The sequence below is a fragment of the Homo sapiens genome, chromosome 4, assembly GCF_000001405.40.
Source record: "Homo sapiens chromosome 4, GRCh38.p14 Primary Assembly".
Classification (NCBI taxonomy): domain Eukaryota; kingdom Metazoa; phylum Chordata; class Mammalia; order Primates; family Hominidae; genus Homo; species Homo sapiens.
Genome location: NC_000004.12, coordinates 144,096,268 through 144,116,481, shown reverse-complemented (window position 1 = coordinate 144,116,481; position 20,214 = coordinate 144,096,268). Strand labels below are relative to the sequence as shown.

Below are 20,214 nucleotides of genomic sequence, written 5' to 3'. Positions count from 1 at the left end.
GGGAAGCCAAGGCAGGAGGATTGCTTGAGCTCAGGAGTTTGAGACCAGCCTGAGCAAAAAGGTGAAACCTAGTCTATACAAAAAATATGAAAATTAGAAAGGCGTGGTGGTGCACATGTGTAGTATCAGCTACTCAGGGGGCTGAAGTGGGAGGATTGCTTGAGCCTGGGAAATCAAGGCTGCAGTGAGCTGTGATCATGCTACTGCACTCCAGCCTGGGCAACAGAGTGAGACCCTGTCTCAATAATTATATAAATAAATAAATAAAAATAAACAAAATAAAACTTTTGCCTTTCTTAATTCTCACATATTCTGAAACAGATTTTTCAAATTTCCACCCATGAATTCTTAACATCAGTGATTTTTTTTGAATCATTAATGCTTTTTTTAATTTTTTTTTTTTTTTTTGAGACAAGAGTTTCCCTCTGTCACCCAGGCTCGAGTGCAAAGTGGTGCAATCTCTGCTCACTGCAGCCTCTGCCTCCCTGGTTTAAGTGATTCTCGTGCTTCAGCCTCCGCAGTAGTTGGGACTACAGGTGCGGGACACCATGCCTGACTAATTTTTGTATTTTTTTAATAGCAGAGATGGGGTTTCGCTGTGTTGGCCAGGCTGGTTTCAAACTCCTGACCTCAAGTGATCCATCTGCCCTTGGCCTCCAAAGTGCTGGGATTACAAGCATGAGCCACCACGCCCAGCCCACTAATGCTATTTTTACATCCATACAACACAGCTTATCGAAGTGCATAACTTTTGCTATCACTTTCTATTCACGATATTTAAGACATAATATGTGTGTGTGTATTTATGATGCTGTCACTGTCTCTGTAATCCTAGATCAGAAGTACTTAGTCACATGAGATTGGTACAGTTGTGTTTTCATTCATCCTCTATTCTTAATCTCTCTTTGTGATTTTTGAGACCATAACCACTATATAATTCTTTTAAAAAGGCTGAGAGGTGTGACAGCACTGCAATTGTGGGGCCATCAGAAGATATGATAGTAATATCTACATTAAGTTCCTTTGCCTCTTTTCTTTTTTAACTACTTCTAACAGTTAACTTCTACCATCATCCAATCCTATAATTGATTTTCAGTATTCCATGTAAATATATCTTCCTTAAATAATACTTTTTGTTAATCAAAGAAAAGTAACTGAAAATGCCTACTCTTGTGTGAGATATTTTGTAAGGACTTTAATATAAGATAGCTTTTTTTGCCTGGAGTATAAAAGAGAAAAGTCATCTTCTTACATGGGCATATATGGCAAAGTGGGTTGTCTTCTCTCTTCGTCAATGTTCTAAAACCTGAAAAAGCCAAGGAAATATTTAGTTGGCAAAGTTCAGAGAATTTTCTAAGTGTATATGGATGAATTTTGTCCTGGTCAACATGATGCAGAGATCACACACTTTATTTTTATTTTTATTTTCACTTTCACTATTTATTACAGCAGGGAAATATGTAAGTATCAGTGTTTGAGGTGATATTTCTCCTACTGAAATACCAAATACTATAGAGGAACACAAATACAAGTTTAAATCAATGCTTATACCAGTAACTAGTAACAACAACAATAACAAAATCTCTGCAAAGGGGATTTCAACCAAAAGAAAAAAAATTTTAGAAAAAAATATTTTTAAGCTGAAGCATTTTACTTTTTACTGTCTTAAGACTAGAAAATTGTGTTATTAATATTTTATGGTATTTCTTCATAGAAAAGCCCATCTGATGTAAAACCTCTCCCCTCACCTGACACAGACGTGCCTTTAAGTTCTGTTGAAATAGAAAATCCAGGTTGGTGTTAATATTTGCAGTTCCTTTTGCCTTTTAGGAAAAAAAAATCAAACCAGTGAGTTACTTCTTTCTGATTTGAGGGAGGAGGGAACCAGTTATGATTCATTTCTATTCTATCTCATTAATTCTACTTCTTTGACTTTTTAGAAATGTCTGCAGCATAGTGAGATTCTCCTTTGGACACAAAGTGTTTTGTTTTGTTTTGTTTTTTTAACAAAAAAAAAAAAACTCAATCAAATAGTAAAAGCAAAAGAGAAAACCAAGTGTACTTCGTATTTCCCAAACTGCAAAGTTATGTGTATAGGAGACTCTATGGTCAGTATGGTGTAGCATAGTGAATTAGCCCCAGATCTGAAATCAGACTTGGATTTGAATCCATGCTCCAACACCTATTAGCTGTGTAACCCTGAGCAAGCTACTAAACCTCTTTTAATATGGGGATAATGATAGTATCAACCTCACAAAGTTTAATGAGAATTAAATGAGCTACAACCGGTAAAGCATTTAAAACCATTTGTGGCCATCATAAGTCCTCATGCCTGTTAGCTGTTATCAATATAGCACTGACATCAATGCTATATCAATATAGCATGTTATCAATATAGTGTCATTCCCAAATGACCTCCTGTGCACACTGGCAAGCCATCTGGCACATGCTTTCATCTCCACTCCCAGGTGCTAAGCAGATACAAAACATGTGAAAGGCCATGGATATATTTTGTTTATCCAGAACAGTATTAAACCACATAGTGCTTTTTGAAAAGAATATTTATTGTCAACCTTTAAAAGTCGGAAATTGTTACATTTTAAAAATCAAGTATTGCTATTCCTCTGGGGAAAAATGTAAACTCCCAAAATGCTGAGAGCCTTCATACCAGCATGAGACCAATTCCTAAGAGCTGAGTAGTGGCTGCTACCTGTACTGTCTGTCTAAATCCCTAGCCAATTGCATTTGTTTTATTCACCGTGGCCCCTGGTATGAACTCACTAAGAAAGCATATAGTTTCTATTAAACTTTGCCTGAAGCATAAACCCAAATGACATCTATTTTGGGAGATAGTTACTAAGAACAAGTCTCTGGAATGAGCTTTATTTCTCAAGCAAAAGAGATTTCATTCTGCCTTCTACAAAATCAACTGATTTTACTCCCATAATTTTCAGAAATCATGACAGATCAGAGGTCCTGTATGCTTCTGGATTTCGATTTTAACCCTGGGCCAGTCTAGGTTTTCTAGACTTTAGAGTCACAGAACACAGAGTTTTCAAGATCCATCACAGCTACACAGGTTATATGCAGGATTTGCCACATCACATTATCATGTGAATTCTTAAAGCTTAAGAGTAATTGTTACATAAGTTTATAATCCTAAGACATTCCTGCTATGTGGAAATGAATGGCATAGATATGATTCTCAGCTAAAAGGATTAATAAAATCCAATCTGCAGATACTTGAAACAACGGAAGTTTTTGAGTCATATGCCAGATTCACTTCATTTACTAAGGTTATCTTGTTATTGGACTGGCAGCTGGAACAAGTATCTGTAAAATATTCATTTTATCTGCATTCTGCCTTGTTCCACAAAAAAGTCTTGATGTAGTTTTTCAAGTGGAGCAATTACAACCTAAAGCCTATTTTTCGAACTGAAATTTATATACATTTTTAGCTACTTATTTATTCTAGAGACAAATTTATTGTTTAGAGTTTCCCCTGCCATTTTTTTCATACAATTTTAAGCATCTCAAATGTTTGGCACAATTTAATACGCCACAGTGCATCAAGATGTCCTTGTAGTTTAATTCAGTTAAGTGCAACAAACATTTGCTAAATGCATACAGTGGGGTAGGCACCACACTCACATTAGATATACCAATATGAGTCTTCGTCCTTTAGAAGCTGAGAGACTAATGGAAAAAACAGAATGTCATTGCAGTGAACAAGTTCTACAGTAGTGGAGGCAATAGCTCCACTTGTCCCAGAGACTGAGACAGGTATCAAAGGCTTCTGAAGATGAAATCACCTGGGATTAGCCTTAAAAGACAGATAGATATTAGCTAGGGCAGGGTAGTTTTAGCAGAAGGGCAGCCTGAGTGAGTAAAAGCATGGAAGACAGAATATGTTTACTTAAAGAATTGTATGCATTTCCACATTAGCAGGATTGCTGCTTTGGTTCTCTGTTCACATCTCAAATATGTGTAATGGCAGTGGAAAGTCAGAAGAACCAAACTTTAGGCTCACTTTATTTCCCCACATTTGTGCAAGTGAAGTTATTAAATGTCTTAGTATGTTAGTGAGACAAGTTATGAATTCTGACTGCACCTCACAGAAAACATAGGAAAACACATTATTAAAGATTATTTAAAATGCTTTATTTCTACTTTTATAGAATATGGCTCTAAATTAGTTTATAAGCCAAAGGCATAAGAGGTTAAAATGACAGTACCATCTCAACAAGAACTAATGATGTAAAGGAGTAATTAGAGTATAAATTGTTTTAACCTTCTAAAAGTGCACATGATCTGTGATTGGTGAAAAATGAGAATAAGCGAATCTGAGTCAGCTGGCCACTGTGGCATGCATATGTGACCCACTAGCCTATTTCCCACAGGAGAATGTTTGAGATGCACAGTTCCTGTGGTGCCCAAATAGAAGAAGGCTGGAAAAGCTCTGCTTCTGGAAGAGCAAGGGCTCCCCTCTCCCTTTCATGCAGTTTCTAGGAGCAACATAAATTCAACCTTCCAACCAGGAAAAGTGGAGCATCGGGTTTACTGGAGAAAACTAGCCCAGTGCCCTTCTTTTACACCCTAGAACCAGAGAGGAACTTGGCCATAAGCTTTTGTGCAGACTTCTCCTTGGGGGAAAAAAAAAGTCATTATTTAAAAAGACATGACAGACTTAGACACATGCCTTAAATTTTAACATGCATATGTGATTCAACTTATCATTTACTGGCTTCACATTATATTTTGCCTCTATACAAGTTTGGCTGTTTGTTTCTTATCTCTGTAGAAACTAGGAGCAGAGCAATTATATTTATTCTTTACCTAAGGCTTTTAGAATAGATATTCTAAGAAATTCTGTATTTTTCTTTACACAAAACTTGACAATAGAGCTAATATGTAAGGAGAGTCCTTTCGTTTCCTACTAATTACATTCAAGAACAACTCTGCAAGAATGTAGAATCCTAAAATGTATACTGTGCATTAATTTCCTGTTGTGTTTAAACATAACTATGTCTCATATTTCGGTCTTGTATTTTTTTTACTATAATCCTTCTAGAGACAAGTGATCAATGAGAATCTGTTCACCAAACCAAATGTGGAAAGAACACAAAGAAGACATAAGACTTCAGTCAAGTGAAAAATTAACATGTGGACTGGACACTCCAATAAATTATATACCTGCCTAAGTTGTACAATTTCAGAATGCAATTTTCATTATAATGAGTTCCAGTGACTCAATGATGGGGAAAAAAATCTCTGCTCATTAATATTTCAAGATAAAGAACAAATGTTTCCTTGAATGCTTGCTTTTGTGTGTTAGCATAATTTTTAGAATTGTTTGAGAATTCTGATCCAAAACTTTAGTTGAATTCATCTACGTTTGTTTAATATTAACTTAACCTATTCTATTGTATTATAATGATGATTCTGTCAAATGAAAGGCTTGAAATACCTAGATGAAGTTTAGATTTTCTTCCTATTGTAAACTTTTGAGTCTGGTTTCATTGTTTTAAATAAATTAAGGGGACACTAAAGTCCTATCATTCATTTCCTTCATTGCTGAACAGGCAAGATATAATATTACATGAATGATTACTATATTTTGTTCACACTAATAAAGCTTATGCTCAGAAATGCCATACACACACACACACACACACACAAACACACACATTTATCATTTAATGCATAAATCAACACAAAAGGTTTTCCCATTAATATGAAATATTACATATATATAAGTGCCATATTTAAAATAATTTGTCTAACAGTAGAACTGTGTCGGAGCACTCACTGAAGCTTGCATTCCACTGAAAGAGTTATTTGTGTAAGTAGAGTATCCGGAGAAGGAAAAGAACTTACGACCTTTCTTTATAACAGAAACTCAACTCTAAATTCAACAAGATGTGCAAACCGGACATGCAGGTGAATATTTTAATAGGTTACTATAAGGTTCTCAATTAAATTCTTTAATCTGTCCAGTCCCAGTTTCTCTTATTAATAAAACTTTGGAAATTGCTTTAAACCATTTAAAGGAAATTTCTAGATATAGAAACTAAGGACTGTGACTATACAGCTGTCACTCATTTGTAGTAAAACTTAAAAAGCAAAAACAAAAAACAAAAAAGACCTTCCTGTGATACTTTATTTCCGAACTAATAAAAATCTATATGACTTTTTATTATTGTGTGATAACCAAGTAAATGTTTTCTATTTTGCATATTTTCAGGCATGGTAACAGAAATTTACCTTTTAATAAATTAAAAAATCTAAATTTTAACCTACTTGTATGTTCGGAGAGTGTTTTTGTACTATATTGACTACTTAAAATAGAGAATGAGACTAAGAAGGGAACATTTCTGTTGATACATGTTTTTTAAAAGTAATTTTAAGAGCATTATTAGGTTAATTAATCCAATTAATGACCCAAATGCCAAGGTAATTTTAAATTTACATTTTTAATAAAAGCAACATGTTGAAACAAGAGAGGGTGAGATTAACCTTTTTGCTAAAGTAATTTACAAGTCAAAGACAGGAAGAGATCAGAGTGAATGTGCCTTCTTAACCAGAGCTACAGAATTTAGTGAATAATTAAAGTACAAACTGCTTTGACCTCCTTGAACTTTTCCAAGCAATTTCTCTGTACTTCTATATATGAATGTCTTAGCCAATTTTCTGCTACTATAACAGAATACGACAGACTGGGTAATTTAAAAAGAAAAGAAATTTATTTTCTTCCTAGTTCTGGAGGCTGGGAAGGCGAAGGGCATGGCACTGACATCTGCCTTGTAACTGATGAGAACCTTCTTACTGCATGATAACAAAGCAGCAAGGCAAGCAAAAGCGTAAGATGAAGAGAGAGGAAATGAAGCCAAACACATCCTTTCATCAGAAGCCCATTCCCTCTATAAGGCGTTATTACATTTATGAGAATGGAGTCCTCATGACCTAATCGTGACCTTAAAGGCCCCTCCCAACACTGTTACAATGGCAATTAAATTTCAACAAAGGTTCCAGAGGTGACATTCGAATCAGCAATGAAATTTTCATAGTTAAATTTGGTATTCGTGGGGGAAGAAATGACCATTTCCCTTGTATTTTTATAATTAAATCAGCAAAATATTGTAATAAAGAAATCTTTCCTGTGAAGATACCATGACCCCATGGATGGCTCATGTTGGATTTCTTAAAATTGGGGATGGGATGGGAAGGTTTGGTGATGCTGATTATGGAATTGTACTCTTCAGCCCTGGTTGTTTGCTTGTGTCGTTATGAGCAAAAGATCTAAATGAGGGAAAAAATGAATGGAGAAGGCTGAGAGGCATTGTGAAGAAAGAATGACCTTTTCTTGCAATAGAAATTTAACTCCAAAAACAACTCTGAACGGAGAGCCAAAGAACAGCATGGACAAAGGCGTATTTTGGTGATATTGATATATAGTGATTGAAGAATAGCCTTCTGGTTTATTCTAAACATATATCCTATCAAATGTAGCAAATTTCTTAGAAGAAATTCCTAAAAGCCAAATGTTATTTAAATAAAAATAAATAAATACTTTGACCCAAAGTGATGCATAGGCCTCTCACTGTGTCAACCAGTTCTAATGCATTTATGCCCTCAGCTGTATTTAGGGGGCATGTGCATTGCCAACTGCTAACCCACTTTCAGCATCTAGATGTAAACATCTCCTCTGAATCCTCACAGCACTTATGCATATTTTGTAGCATTACTACGATCTGAATTCCATACCCTTCTTAACTATGATTCATTAAAAGCAAGAACTTTAATTCATTTTTGTAACTCCTGAGAGGCTTAACAAAATTTGCTTCTTATTTCATGAAGCCTTTATTAATATTTAAAATGGCATGATACACAGTGACCTCTTAAAGGTTTGGTCTGGCGTGATGTGGACAGAGAATCAGATTTGGAGCCAGGATTTGAATCCTCACTATTTATTCACATAACTTTGGTTTCTTTATCTGAAATATGAAGATTAGAATAACTGCCTGGCAGAAATGTCACAAGAGTTATATATTTATACAGAAAAATGAAAAACAAGAAGAAACTATTAATATCAGTCCAAAAGGAAAAAAATTTACTCTCATGTAGTGAGAGATAATCCTCATGGCAGTCATGTGCAACTTTTGCAATTCTCTCCCGTATCTTCTTAAACCTGAAAAGTGTCTAGTTTATTTACATGTTGATATAATGTGTAGAGTGATATTCTCCACAACTGTTTCCCTCAGACTAAAGCCCCTGGATTTTTTTAAATTTTGCATAGAAACTAAACCAAGGTTAAACCATAAGGAGGAAGCGCACAAATGCTTTTTGATGGAAAGAGGTATATTACAGCAAAAGATGACTCAAACATGATTCTATACAAAATCTGCTTTTGTATGGGAAAATAAGCAGCTTTTCAGAACTAGCCCTAATTTATCTTTAAAGAATGTAAAAGTGCTTATATTGAATTTGTATATAGCTGTAGAGCTTAGTGTTAAGCCATAATTAATACAAGAGAAAGAAAAATAAAAGGATAAGCACAGTTATGTTTTATAAGTTTACCTGCAAGATACTATATTACTTGTCTGCAAAAGACACAACAGGTGGGTTCTCAAAATAGAAAATAAATCCAGCTGAGCGCAGTGGCTCACACCTGTAATCCCAGCACCCTGGGAAGCTGAGGTGGGTAGATCACCTAAGTTCCAGACCAGCCTGGCCAACATGGTGAAATCCCATCTCTACTAAAAATACAAAAATTAGCTGGCCATGGTGGTGCACACCTGTAATCCTAGCTGCTCAGGAGGCTGAGGCAGGAGAATCGTTTGAACCTGGAAGGCGGAGGTTGCAGTGAGCCAAGATCGTGCCACTGCACTCCAGCCTGTGTGCCAGAGCAAGACTCCGACTCAAAAAAAAAAAAAAAGAAAAAGAAAATAAAAAAAAAATCCAATTATGGAAAAAATACAGTCATAGTTTTGTACCCTGAGTTGTGATTATTCATTTTTTAAAATACACTTATTATTTCCTAATACCTTATTTACCCATGAAAAGAAATTAATTATTAAGAGGTATGATAATATTTGTTCTTAAACCTACACTTAAAATGTCAAAAGTGTGACCATAGAATGAGGGATCTTAAAATTGACAACTGGCTGAGCAGCCTGGAGTAAGAATGGTGTAAAATACTTGTGTATAGGTATCACAGCCAGGCCAGGAAATCATGAGAAAGGGAAGGTGAGAGTGCTCATCATCTGACTGATTATCAAATTTAGTATGCGTATGGTTCCAAATTTGAACACTGGAAAGTGATATAGACCACCTGGGATCATTTTTAACATGGAAAGCAGACTAGGCTGGATACATCAGCATAACCTGTCTGAACATAAAGTCATCACATGAAGGACAGCTGGAGGAGAGAGGGAGAGGAATGGAGGAAGAATGAGAAAGTGAGCTAGGTCCCGAAGAGCTGTGCATCCAGATGTGCCTAAGCAGACAAAACCTCTTCTCAGTTATGGGAGTCAATAAATCCCCTCTTTGCTTAAGCTGGTTTTTTTAAATTAGGCTTTTTGTCATTTATAATAGAAAGAGTCTTAGCTAAAGTAATAGAAAACCAAAATAGATGATCGGGCTGACACCTTATATCCAATAAAGACTGCATTCCAGGTTGACATATAAGACTTAATACAGAATTTCCAAAGGAAATGTCTAAAGATTGTACAATTCTAAAACTCTCACCAACAGTAAAAGAATAAAAGTGTAAGGAGTTGGTGACTGAACAAAAGGGAGTGTAGAGAGCTGTTTGTGTGTCTTCAAGGTCTCTCCTAAGGAGGAGAGGTGAGGAGGTTCTCTCTTCACTTTGTCAAGAGCTCTAGAGGGTCTTGGGAGAACTTGAATGTGTCCTTGGAATGTCAGAGAATTATGACTCTTACTTGAGATATCTAAAGGGCAAAAAAATGGCCCCAGTCCTGCCCTGAAAGTATATTAAGGAGATACTGGAAAGCTAGGGATGACAAGCATTCCTACAGTTTTAAGAGGCAGTGAAAAAATGAGTTTCCTGTGGGCTCTATACACACCAACTGCAAAAAAAAAAATGTTCCTGTGAGTTATCTTTTGTCATGTTGGAAATGACTTCCTAGAGAGGCCAATAACTTTTAAGAGAAAGAAAACAGAAGTGTTGCCAGACATCTAATACTTTGTTTACCCATGAGGGACTGAAGAAGGATGCAGGCAAACAACTGAAACAGACATGGATTTATACAAGCCAAGAGAATATCAGATGAAAAGTCCCAAGTGATGGGAAAATTCTGAAGAACTCTCAAGAATACCTATAAGAGGAAGGTTCAAATGTAAAACTCTGCCAAGAGAAAATGTGGGACCACTGTGAAATATTGGTCTAGTCGGACTTTCCTACTCCTTTACCTAGTTTTTTCCTTCCTGTGTTCCAGTGCTGGAGGGTTTAGAAACTTTGAGTGGCAAGATGGAAGAAAAGGAATAAATGCTCCAGTTTGGGGTTGGGGAGAAGTTGACTAGATCATTCCTTTCCTGAATCCAGGGAAGAGAAGAAATACAAACATTAATTTTAAATCAGAATGGAAATGTTGATTATTGCATTGGTATAGACATTTTAATTACAAACTGGAGAGCCATTTGTATTACCTAATGGTGACCAGAAGAGTAATGGGATGTTTGGGCAGAGGAACAATGCAAGGACCAGTTCTACAGAAGACATTTAAAAGGACACAGGAGCCATGACTCAAATTATTTCTAATTGAATTCTATGAGTCTTGTTTACTTAATACAACCATTATACAGATAGAAGTATTAATGTAGCAAAAGCATTTGTTGATGACTTAGATAAGGCATAATGGGAAAAAATACTTATACATTATTAGTAACTGTAAATTGACTCAGAAACAATAGAGCAATATATTCCAAAATTCACAAATTTGTCTATATATTTTTGGCCCAGTATTTCCATTTTGAAGAATGTGCTCCAGTAAAATTACAAAAAAGTGTAAATTATTATTTTGTAATTGACTTTACATATTAATTGCATCAACAAATAGCAAAAAGAAAATAACCCAAATGTTCACTAACTTAGTAATGTCTATGTGTCAGTTATAATTTACATATTAGCATATTAACAAAATAGACTATTATGTAGCCAATTAAAAAGTGCGTGTACACTTTGTCTACAAGTGAAAATATGTGTAGAAATGAATTTTTAATGAAAAAATAGAAAACATAGTATGATTATTCTGAACTAAAAAAATATGTAGTGCATAAATTTTAAAGCTCAAAAAGAAAAACTTCAACACTCAGTAGTTTCTTTCTTCTTGTATTTGTTCAAGAAATAGTGCCACGGACTTACAATGCAGTACTAACATTCCTGGTTGCTGTTGAATATTTCTAAGCTAGAGCTCTACTTCAAAACTGAAGACCAGAGACATCTTGGTATTGCCCCATGTTCATATCTCATGAAACATGCTTTTTGGGGTGTGTTTAAACTGTGCTGTGACTCTGCAGAAATAAGCCTTGAAAGCTGAAGGAGAAATGTTTCAAAGGGAAGGAAAGCCAGAAATATCTGTTTCCTAACTCAACAATAAGACAACTTAGTTCGTATACCTTGGAAGGAATGTGATTCCACTTTTTAAATGTGAAGTGTTTCTAAAACTTTTTTTAATATTAACACATATTAGAAAGACAAATATCACGTGTTCTCACTCATATGTAGGAGCTAAACATGTGGACTTCATGAAGACAGAAAGTAGATTGGGTAGATTGGTAATCACCAGAGGACGGGAAGGAGAGCAGGGAGGGGATGATGAAGGCAAAATAAAGAACACAATTGTGTTTATTACCACTGAAGTGTATATGCAAAATGGTAAAGATGGCAAATTATATATGTATATTTTACCTCAATAAAAATATAAACGGGGCTTAAAACCTAGATGACGGGTTGATATGGGCAGCAAACCGCCATGGCACATGTATACCTATGTAACAAACCTGCACATTCTGCACATGTATCCTGGAACTTAAGGTAAATAAATAAATTAATAATTAAATTTAAAAAACATATATATGTCAAATATATCAGTTTGACATAATATTAAGAGCAAGTGTGTATATAATCCTTCATCAGATTAATACGTTTTAATTCATAATTCAAATCCTAGTTTGAAAAATCGGGCTACTTCTCCATTTTAGCACCTGAGGAAGCAACAAGAGAGTGCACTCCCAGCAACAGAAGGCAGAAAAATGTGCCTCTGTTGTTTCTCCCTCAAAATAAGTCTGCTCTAGGAAAGAGTTTATTTCTAGAACTGTAATAGTCATCCTATATAGCAATGACCACGGTTCCCACCAGGACTTACCATGTGGTTTGGCTGTGTCCTCACTCAAATCTCATCTTGAATTGCAGTTCCCATAATCCCCATATGTAGTGGAAGGGACCCTGTGGGAGGTAATTTAATCATGAAGGTGGTTACCCTCATGCTGCTCATGCTGTTCTCACAATAGTGAGTGAGTTCTCACAAGATCTGATGCTTTTATAAGTGGCTTACCCCTTCGCTTGGCACTCATTCTCTCTCCTGCCACCCTGTGAAGAGGTGACTTCTGCCTTGACTGCAAGTTTTCTGAAGCCTCCCCAGCCATGGGGAACAGTAAGTCAATTACACCTATTTCCTTTATAAACTACCCAGTCTCAGGCAGTTCTTTATGGCAGCGTGAGAATGGACTAAGACAACTTATAAAGAAAACCTAAAAGAAAAGCAAATGAAGCCCTCATCTCTCACTGGGACCATCTGAGCAAAAGATATAGAACTTATAAGTTGCCACATTCTCTGACCCATATAGCTCTTCACTTCTAAAGCTAAACAGAATCCTCTAAAACATGATAACCATGTAATCAATTGTTTTTTGAAAAACCTTTAAGAATTTGTTTTTATTTACTCACCTCAAGGTTTTTACAAAACTTCCAATATATGGGAGATCCAGGTTCCCAGCTTTCTTCCCTTATTCTTGTTCAATACAGGTACACAGCATGACCTCAAGTATCATGCAATTTGTTCACGCTTCTCTTTCTTCCAATGTACCATGAAAGTCTTGACTGAGGCAATGACAGAGCACCTTCACATCTCACTCCTTCACTGTGTCTAGAATAGAGTCCACCGAAGTGATTATGTCATAGACCAGTTTACTCCTTTTGAAATCAAAACTACAACAGACCTAGAGTTTTTTTCTCAAGGATTCTGCAGACAGGGAAGTAAAAATAGTTTTCTTGATGATTTGAAGTTTCTTAAAGCAAAGTGACCAATGTTGGTTTTTGTATTTCTAGGAATGACTTTCCCCACAATTCCTCCACCAGGATTAAAAACTGGACTTGAAACCTAACTCTTCTGTCTGGTTTCTGCCCACTTGGCTAGCCCTATTCTTGTAAGCAGATACTTTGCTGTATCCTCAAGCCTTGATGTGCTCCCGATTCCACACCTACCCAGCCTATTTGCTGCTACCCACTTGACTTTGAGTATTTTCACAGCCTGAGATTATTGTTACTTTATCCCACCTAATTGATTGTATACAGTATTAACTAGGGCAATTTAAGTCCCAAAGCATAATTTTGTTTACACACAAGAAGTTTATTTCTTTCTCAGGTAATGGTACAGGAATATTACTCTAGGCCTGTGGGGAAAGTGATTATTCTTTCTATCATCATTTATGGATCTAAGCTGATAGCATGTAGCTCAAAGCCAAGAATTTTGGGGCATGTACTGTTTTCTCACTAGATTGAAATGCAGTTTCCCATGGCCAGAAAACCAATAAACTAAGAAAAGTAAAGTAATCTGCCCACTACCATACCCAAAACACATTGGTAGAGCTGGGCTAAGATATGGGCAATAAAAATTACCATTCAAAAGAGAGATTAATGTGAAACACACATCAGTCATAGGTCCGTGGCAATGATAGAATCCACTGGGCAAACATTGTGAAGACTCCTTCCCAGGAAGTAGAAGAAATGTCATTGTTCACCATGGCTCTTGGCTTTGCACTTTGAAAGTTACTTCCTTGGTCATTTAATTCTATGGCCACATTTAAGTGAGTGTTAGGCAGTGTGCCCTCACTGCAAGCTGTTCAGATTTTGCAACACATTGTCTTACGATGCTAGGTTTGTTTTAGAGAGGAAATAGGCAAAGGCTTTTCAAGTCAGTCTCATGATTACTTTGGCAATACGATTCCCTTAGAAACCTGTGATTTCTAATCAATTTGCTGATTTCTAATCAATTTCACTGAGCTCCATTTGCCTGACTACACCCAAAGTTATTTCAGAGACATAGTTTTAAATCTCTTTATTTTTTGAGCACTTGCCTTTAACTTAATGGCAGCTTCTTTGATGCTAGTGAAATAATGGGCGAAGATGAAAACTATATTCTCGTTGTGATCTTAGCCATAGGGCTGAGTTCCTTCAGTTAATGACAAGCATTGATATGTATTTTGCCTCTAAGTCTTTTTCAGTCTTATCTCCTACAGTTTTAGGACTAGATGTATTTGGCTTTTCTAACACTTTGATAGCTTTAATTTCTTCTGGAAAATCAGCCAATACCTTCCTGAACTCATTTTTTCTTACAATATTGCTAAAAGCAGTAACAGTCAACAAACACTAAAATGTGAGCTCTTTCTAAGCTCTCCTAAACTACAGATGCAGAAGATACGTAGTATTTTTTCAAAGTTATTGTAGACAAAACTTACTAAATAGCTTACCTCAGCATAGCATAAATAGGCTGCTTTCTAGCATTTATTATCTAATTCTTTATCTCCTGACACCCATATACTAACCTAATGCCATATAGGTCACGATTTTGTTACAGCACCTGATTTCAAACTGAATGTTCTTTTTCCACGGCAAAAGGATCTGCTAATACTCATAAGAAGCTTCTTGGGAGGCCGAAGCAGGAGGATCGATTGAGCCAAGGAGTTCGAGACCAGGCTGGGCAACACGGCAAAACCCCATCTCTACTACAAATACAAAAATTAGCAAGGTGTTGTGGTGCATGCCCGTAGTCCCAGCTATGTGGGAGGCTGAGGTGGGAAAGATCACCTGAGCTGGGGAAGTAGAGGTTGCAGTAAGGTGAGATTACACCACTGAACTCCAGCCTGGACCACCCAGTGGGACCCTGTCTCAAAAAAAAAAAACAGAAATTATTATAATAAAAGAGAAAACATGATACGCACCACTGGTTAGGTACTACCAGTCCTCTAGCAGTTGAGCTGAGGAAGAGAGATCATATTCAGCTATGGCTTTCAGGAGGACTTAAAGCGTTAGAGATTAGAGGGAGGCACTCAGACTCAGGGAAATGTGAAGCATATACTAGAAACATACATTAAAACATATGGGGCTCAAAAGTCGGAGACAAGGTTGGGAAAGCAGGCTTAAGTCTGGTCACAAGTCACACCTGATGGACTCTAGTGTAAATCATACTCCTCTACGTCTGGAGTATCCCCCTTTTAGATCAAGATGGCAGATGATCATTTGAGTTTATATTCTCTCTTTTCTAAGACTCCGTCTAAATTATAAAAACAAAATGAAAATAACAGAAGGGAAAATAACAAGAGATGAGTAAATTCAATAAATATTTGGAAAGCTGAAAGCAAATGAAAGAATTCTGACTGATGAAGTAGAAAGGGCCAAAAAGATGATTTGTACAATAAGGTTTCCCCCCAAGATTGAATGAGCTACCTGGAAAACACCAAGACTGCCAGTGTGAGTGTTAGCTTCTAGAGCATAAGATGAACAGCGGGGAGAGGTTGGAAGAGAAAATTGTTGCAGAATATCATAGTGGTTAAAAACATAGTTTTTATGGCCAGAGAACATGGGTGTGAATCCAAGTTTTGCCACTTACTAGTTGTGAGGTCTTAGACAAGTTAATTAATCTCTCTGAGACTTTTCTTATTTGTAAAATGTACTGACGATAACACTACCACCTTCTGAAAGAGCAATAGTGAGGATTGAGTTAATACTTACCAATCATTTAGAATGGTGCTTGGTGCACTGTTAGTGATTAATTAATGTTCATTAATAATTTTTATTATAATTCCTTATAATTTTGATTTCAAAAATATTTACAAGTTTCCTTTCCCCATCTCCCCTACCCCAGCAGCCTCTGGTAACCACTGTTACCCAACAGAGTTGTCCAGGTTCTTGGCATGTTGAACAAAGAATTGAACAAAATGCACAAAGTAACAAAAGAACAAAGCAATGAAAGACAAAGCAACAGAAGAATGGAGTAAGGAAAGCACAGACTTATTGAAGACCATTCACAGACTGGGAGTGGGCTTAAGCAAGGGGTTCAAAGCCTCTCCAATTGGGGTTTTCTGTTTTTGGGGATTTTTTTTTTTTTGAGACAGCCTCACTCTGTCACCCAGGCTAGAGTGCAATGGCATGATCTCTGCTCACTGCAACCTCTGCCTCTGGGGTTCAAGCAGTTCTCCTGTCTCAGCCTCCCAAGTAGCTGGGATTAGAGGCGCCCACCACCACGCCTGACTAATATTTTTGTTTGTTTTTGGTTTTTGTTTTTTTTTTTTTTTTTTTTTTTTTTTTGTATTTTTAATAGAGACGGGGTTTCGCCATGTTGGCCAGGCTGGTCTCAAACTCCCGACCTCAAGTGATTCACCTGCCTCAGCCTCCCAGAGTGCTGGGATTACAGGTGTGAGCCACTGTGCCCGGCCCCAATTAGGGTCTTTATAAAGCCAAAAGAACTTGGCAACACCCCTTAGGTACCCTTTAGAAGCCTCCAATTGGCTACACCCTATGAAGGATTGGCCTGTGACCAATCAGAGGCTGAAGTGGAGGCTTAGCTCATGGTCAAGCAGAGGCTGAAGTGGAAACTTCTGTCTTTTTATCACAGGAATGAGGATGTGGCCTGCATGCTGCCTGATCTTGCCTAGAACCAGCTGCACCTGCTGTTCTCTTGCTTATGCAGACTGGCTGCACCTGCTATTCCTTTGCTTATGCTCCAACCCTTGGCTATCCTAATTCCCTGTTTTCCTCCCTATTACTGTATTCTCTACTTCTCAATAAAAATAAAACAAAATACAAACCATTTGCAGGTATTATAGTCATGATTTGTTATTTCAAGTTATGTTTAAAATGTAAAGCCCATTACAGTAGGATAGATGAGAAGAAAGAAGGGTCTGAACAAAGCCAACAGCAGAGCACATGCAGAAGGGGAATGAAGACTTCAGCCTAGACTCTCATTAGGTGGTTGTCCAGGATAACATGAAGTCTCATGTGAAATATATTGGAAAAGAACAAGATTCAGTCAAGTACCCAAGGTGCCTGACTGCTGAAACGGCACTGTAATTTAAAAAGCAAAGACAAGTTTATCATACTGTGAGATCCTTGAGGGCAAGGACCAAGTTCTATTCAAATCTTTGTCAAAAACCAGATTTCTGATAGGCTTACTTTAGTACCCATTGATCTTAATTATAGTTCGCCTGCCAGGAGTTAAGGTCCCTCCTCAACAGTAAAGAGAATGACAGGCACAGGGGTAGGAGCACATAGAGAAGGGCCTGACTTTCAAATGAACTCTGGAGAGCACTCATCACCTCCAGGACACAGCAGATCTTACTGAGATGGCTGGGTCAGAAATCTCTGAGGGACCCCAGGATGCCCACACCTCAGAAAGGACAGGTAAAACCAAAGGACCTGGGGTCCCAATGTGCAGCATGTTTCCTCTTCTAGTACACACCAGATACATTCTGACTGCCTTATCCTTGGAGTCAGAAGGAGGAGTGTCTGAGGTCTCTTTTCTCCCATCCTAAAAACAGGACATAGAGCAGGCCATGGCCATATGCTGTATGCCTCCCCTAAGTGAGCAGTAAGAGATTGTCACAAATCTGCTATGTTCAGCATCTGCATTTGAATAAATGAATGTTATTACCTCTCAAGGTGACTGCTTTGAATGTATAAATTCTAAAGTATTTCAGAAACCTCAGACATTACAGTCACACCATGATAAAATCTGGTAGGTCTGATGACAAGGAATGGTGTTTGTTGCATATTTAAAAGATTGCAGACAGTTCTACATTAAAAGTTCTTTCTGTGGGTGAGGGGTTTGTGGGATGGGGGAGATGCCAGGATATGTATAGAGCTTAATTTCACTTGTTGGGATTATAGCTAATTTTCATCTTTTTCTTTATACTTTTTTTCTAGCTTCTTAATTTTCTGTAACAAAACTATATTACATTTTTAAAGAGACAATAACAAAAGCCATTAACTTTTTCAAAACTAGATATATATATACATATATATACATATATACATATAGCAACAATACAGTTGCTAGTACACATCTCCCTAACAGATAGAGTTACATTAGTCTACAGGGGTTTTACTTATAATTGACATAGTTACCCTAATCTATGCATTCTTTGACTATGTTGCGTGTCTAACATGTTCCAGTGACCATTCAATTGTGGATTACAGAGAACTGTCATTGTCCAAATTAGAGGCAAGAATTTCAGTCCTGTGCGAAGCATCCAAAAAGCTCTTCAGCACAGATAGGTTTAGGAATAAAACTGGAGATCTTTTGAGTGGTTCTCATTTTTATAAGCTTGGTCATGAACTTATCTGCCCCTTAGTTATTTTTAGAATTGATTTCATGCTCAGGTCAATCATTTCACAGTGAAGAATATACCATTTCTCAAACTGCCTTCTTTCCAAATTTTATGACTAGAGTTCAGCCTGAGTTCACACAATCAGCTGATGAACATCACTCAATGGAGCATATTAACTAGAATTGTTGTCTCCATCTGGGTCTCTTCCAAATGGTCTTGTCAAATGCTATCAGGGCATCATATATTAGAGAATATGTTATATCAGCCTCCACTTAAGTTACTCATAGATTGTCCTTGACACTTCTCATGGCTCTTCTCTCTTGTAGGTGGTATTATTGGTAACATAACTTGCTCTGACAAAAGCAAATGAAGGAAATTTTAGACCTTTATTATTCAACTGGATAAAACTGAAGGTTCAGAAGTGATTGCAAATATTGCCAACCAGGTGAAAATTATTTCCATTCTCAGCTGAACGCTATTACCTTTAAATCAAAAGTAATCACTTTAATGTAAGTCTTACCTAAGTCTATTAAACTTTTTCTAGGTCTACCAAAGCATAAAAATGCTGTATATTTTAATGTCCTCAGATTAAAGTATCCCCATCTCTGAATATTTTGAAATTTTAAAAAGTAATCACTAAAAGGTGACCAGCAGCATTTATTCTTACTAAAAAGAATGGATGAGATGGCATGGAATATAGTAACAGCCCCACAGCTTGTCTCCTTGTCTCTACTCTTGTTTTTTATATTCCCTCCTTCACAGAGCAATTTTTTCAAACTATCAATTAGATCATGTATTTCTCCTACTTAAAATCTCCAGTAGGTTTTTCACTGCACCAGAATAAAATCACCACTTGTTAGCATGCTCTCTGAAGTTCTGACTTGTCCACATGCTCAGCTCACCTGGCCTGCCCCCTTCAACCCTCTCCCACTCTCTCCTGTCATTAGGTTGCAGCCACTGAACTTTTCCCCAAAACTCCAACATACTAAGCTTGCTCCTTTCTTAGGAACTTTGTTCTAATTTTTTCTCCTTTTTTTGCTTCATATCTTTGTTTGACTGCCTCCATATTATTCCTGTCTCACACCTTCAAAGAAAATTCTGATGACTGTATTTTTCATCTGCTTTGTTTACTATGTATCCTCAGAGCCCAGAATAATGGCTAGAACACAGGAAAACTCAGGAAAATTTCATTGAATGAAATAGGTCTTCCCTGCCTACCCAACGCAAAGCAGCTTGTAGTCTTCTTCCCTCCTTCCCATTAATTTCTCTTTCATTTTCTTCCTGTATTTTTTTCATAGCACTCAGCTCCCAGGACTACCCTCTTTATTTGTATAACTGGTTATTGGCAAGTCTCAATTCAGTAGGGTAAAAAATCAATTTTTTAAATTTGCTTATACTGTATGGAATATACTTTTCCTATTTCTTATTCCTATTCACTAGAAACATTCTGGGGAGATAGGCAACTTTCTAGTCTTTTTTGTTATTAAAATTTCAAAACACCAATCTTACACATAAATGAAAGCTATACAGCTACTTTCTTTTTTCTAGGTTTTCATGCCTCTGGGATGGTGATTAGAGGAAGAAAGCAAA

The 20,214-nt window shown here is 36.8% G+C and overlaps 1 protein-coding gene and 1 long non-coding RNA gene across 9 annotated transcripts in view; one reads left to right on the top strand and one right to left on the bottom strand.

Annotated features, from left to right (window-relative positions):
- Positions 1 to 7,179, top strand: part of GYPA (glycophorin A (MNS blood group)) — a 31,416-nt gene extending 24,237 nt beyond the window's left edge. For 5 of the 7 annotated variants that reach the window (NM_001438626.1, NM_001308190.2, NM_001308187.2 and 2 more), the window contains 2 exons: positions 1,715 to 1,793; positions 5,072 to 7,179. In NM_001438626.1, coding sequence (NP_001425555.1) covers positions 1,715 to 1,793; positions 5,072 to 5,088 — 96 coding nt within the window. In that variant the 3' untranslated portion in view covers positions 5,089 to 7,179. The remainder of the gene's footprint in view (positions 1 to 1,714; positions 1,794 to 5,071) is intronic. The other 2 variants (NM_001438625.1, NM_001438046.1) reach the window with 1 other exon arrangement.
- LOC105377460 (uncharacterized) overlaps positions 1 to 20,214 on the bottom strand; it is a 106,316-nt gene that overhangs the window by 68,032 nt on the left and 18,070 nt on the right. The window contains exons 6-8 of one of the 2 annotated variants that reach the window (XR_002959803.2): positions 12,968 to 13,166; positions 12,387 to 12,466; positions 1,253 to 1,823 (exon numbers count right to left, since the gene is read on the bottom strand). This is a non-coding gene — a long non-coding RNA (uncharacterized LOC105377460). Of the gene's footprint in view, positions 1 to 1,252; positions 1,824 to 12,309; positions 12,467 to 12,967; positions 13,167 to 20,214 lie in introns of those variants that run through there. The other variant, XR_001741862.3, reaches the window with a different exon arrangement.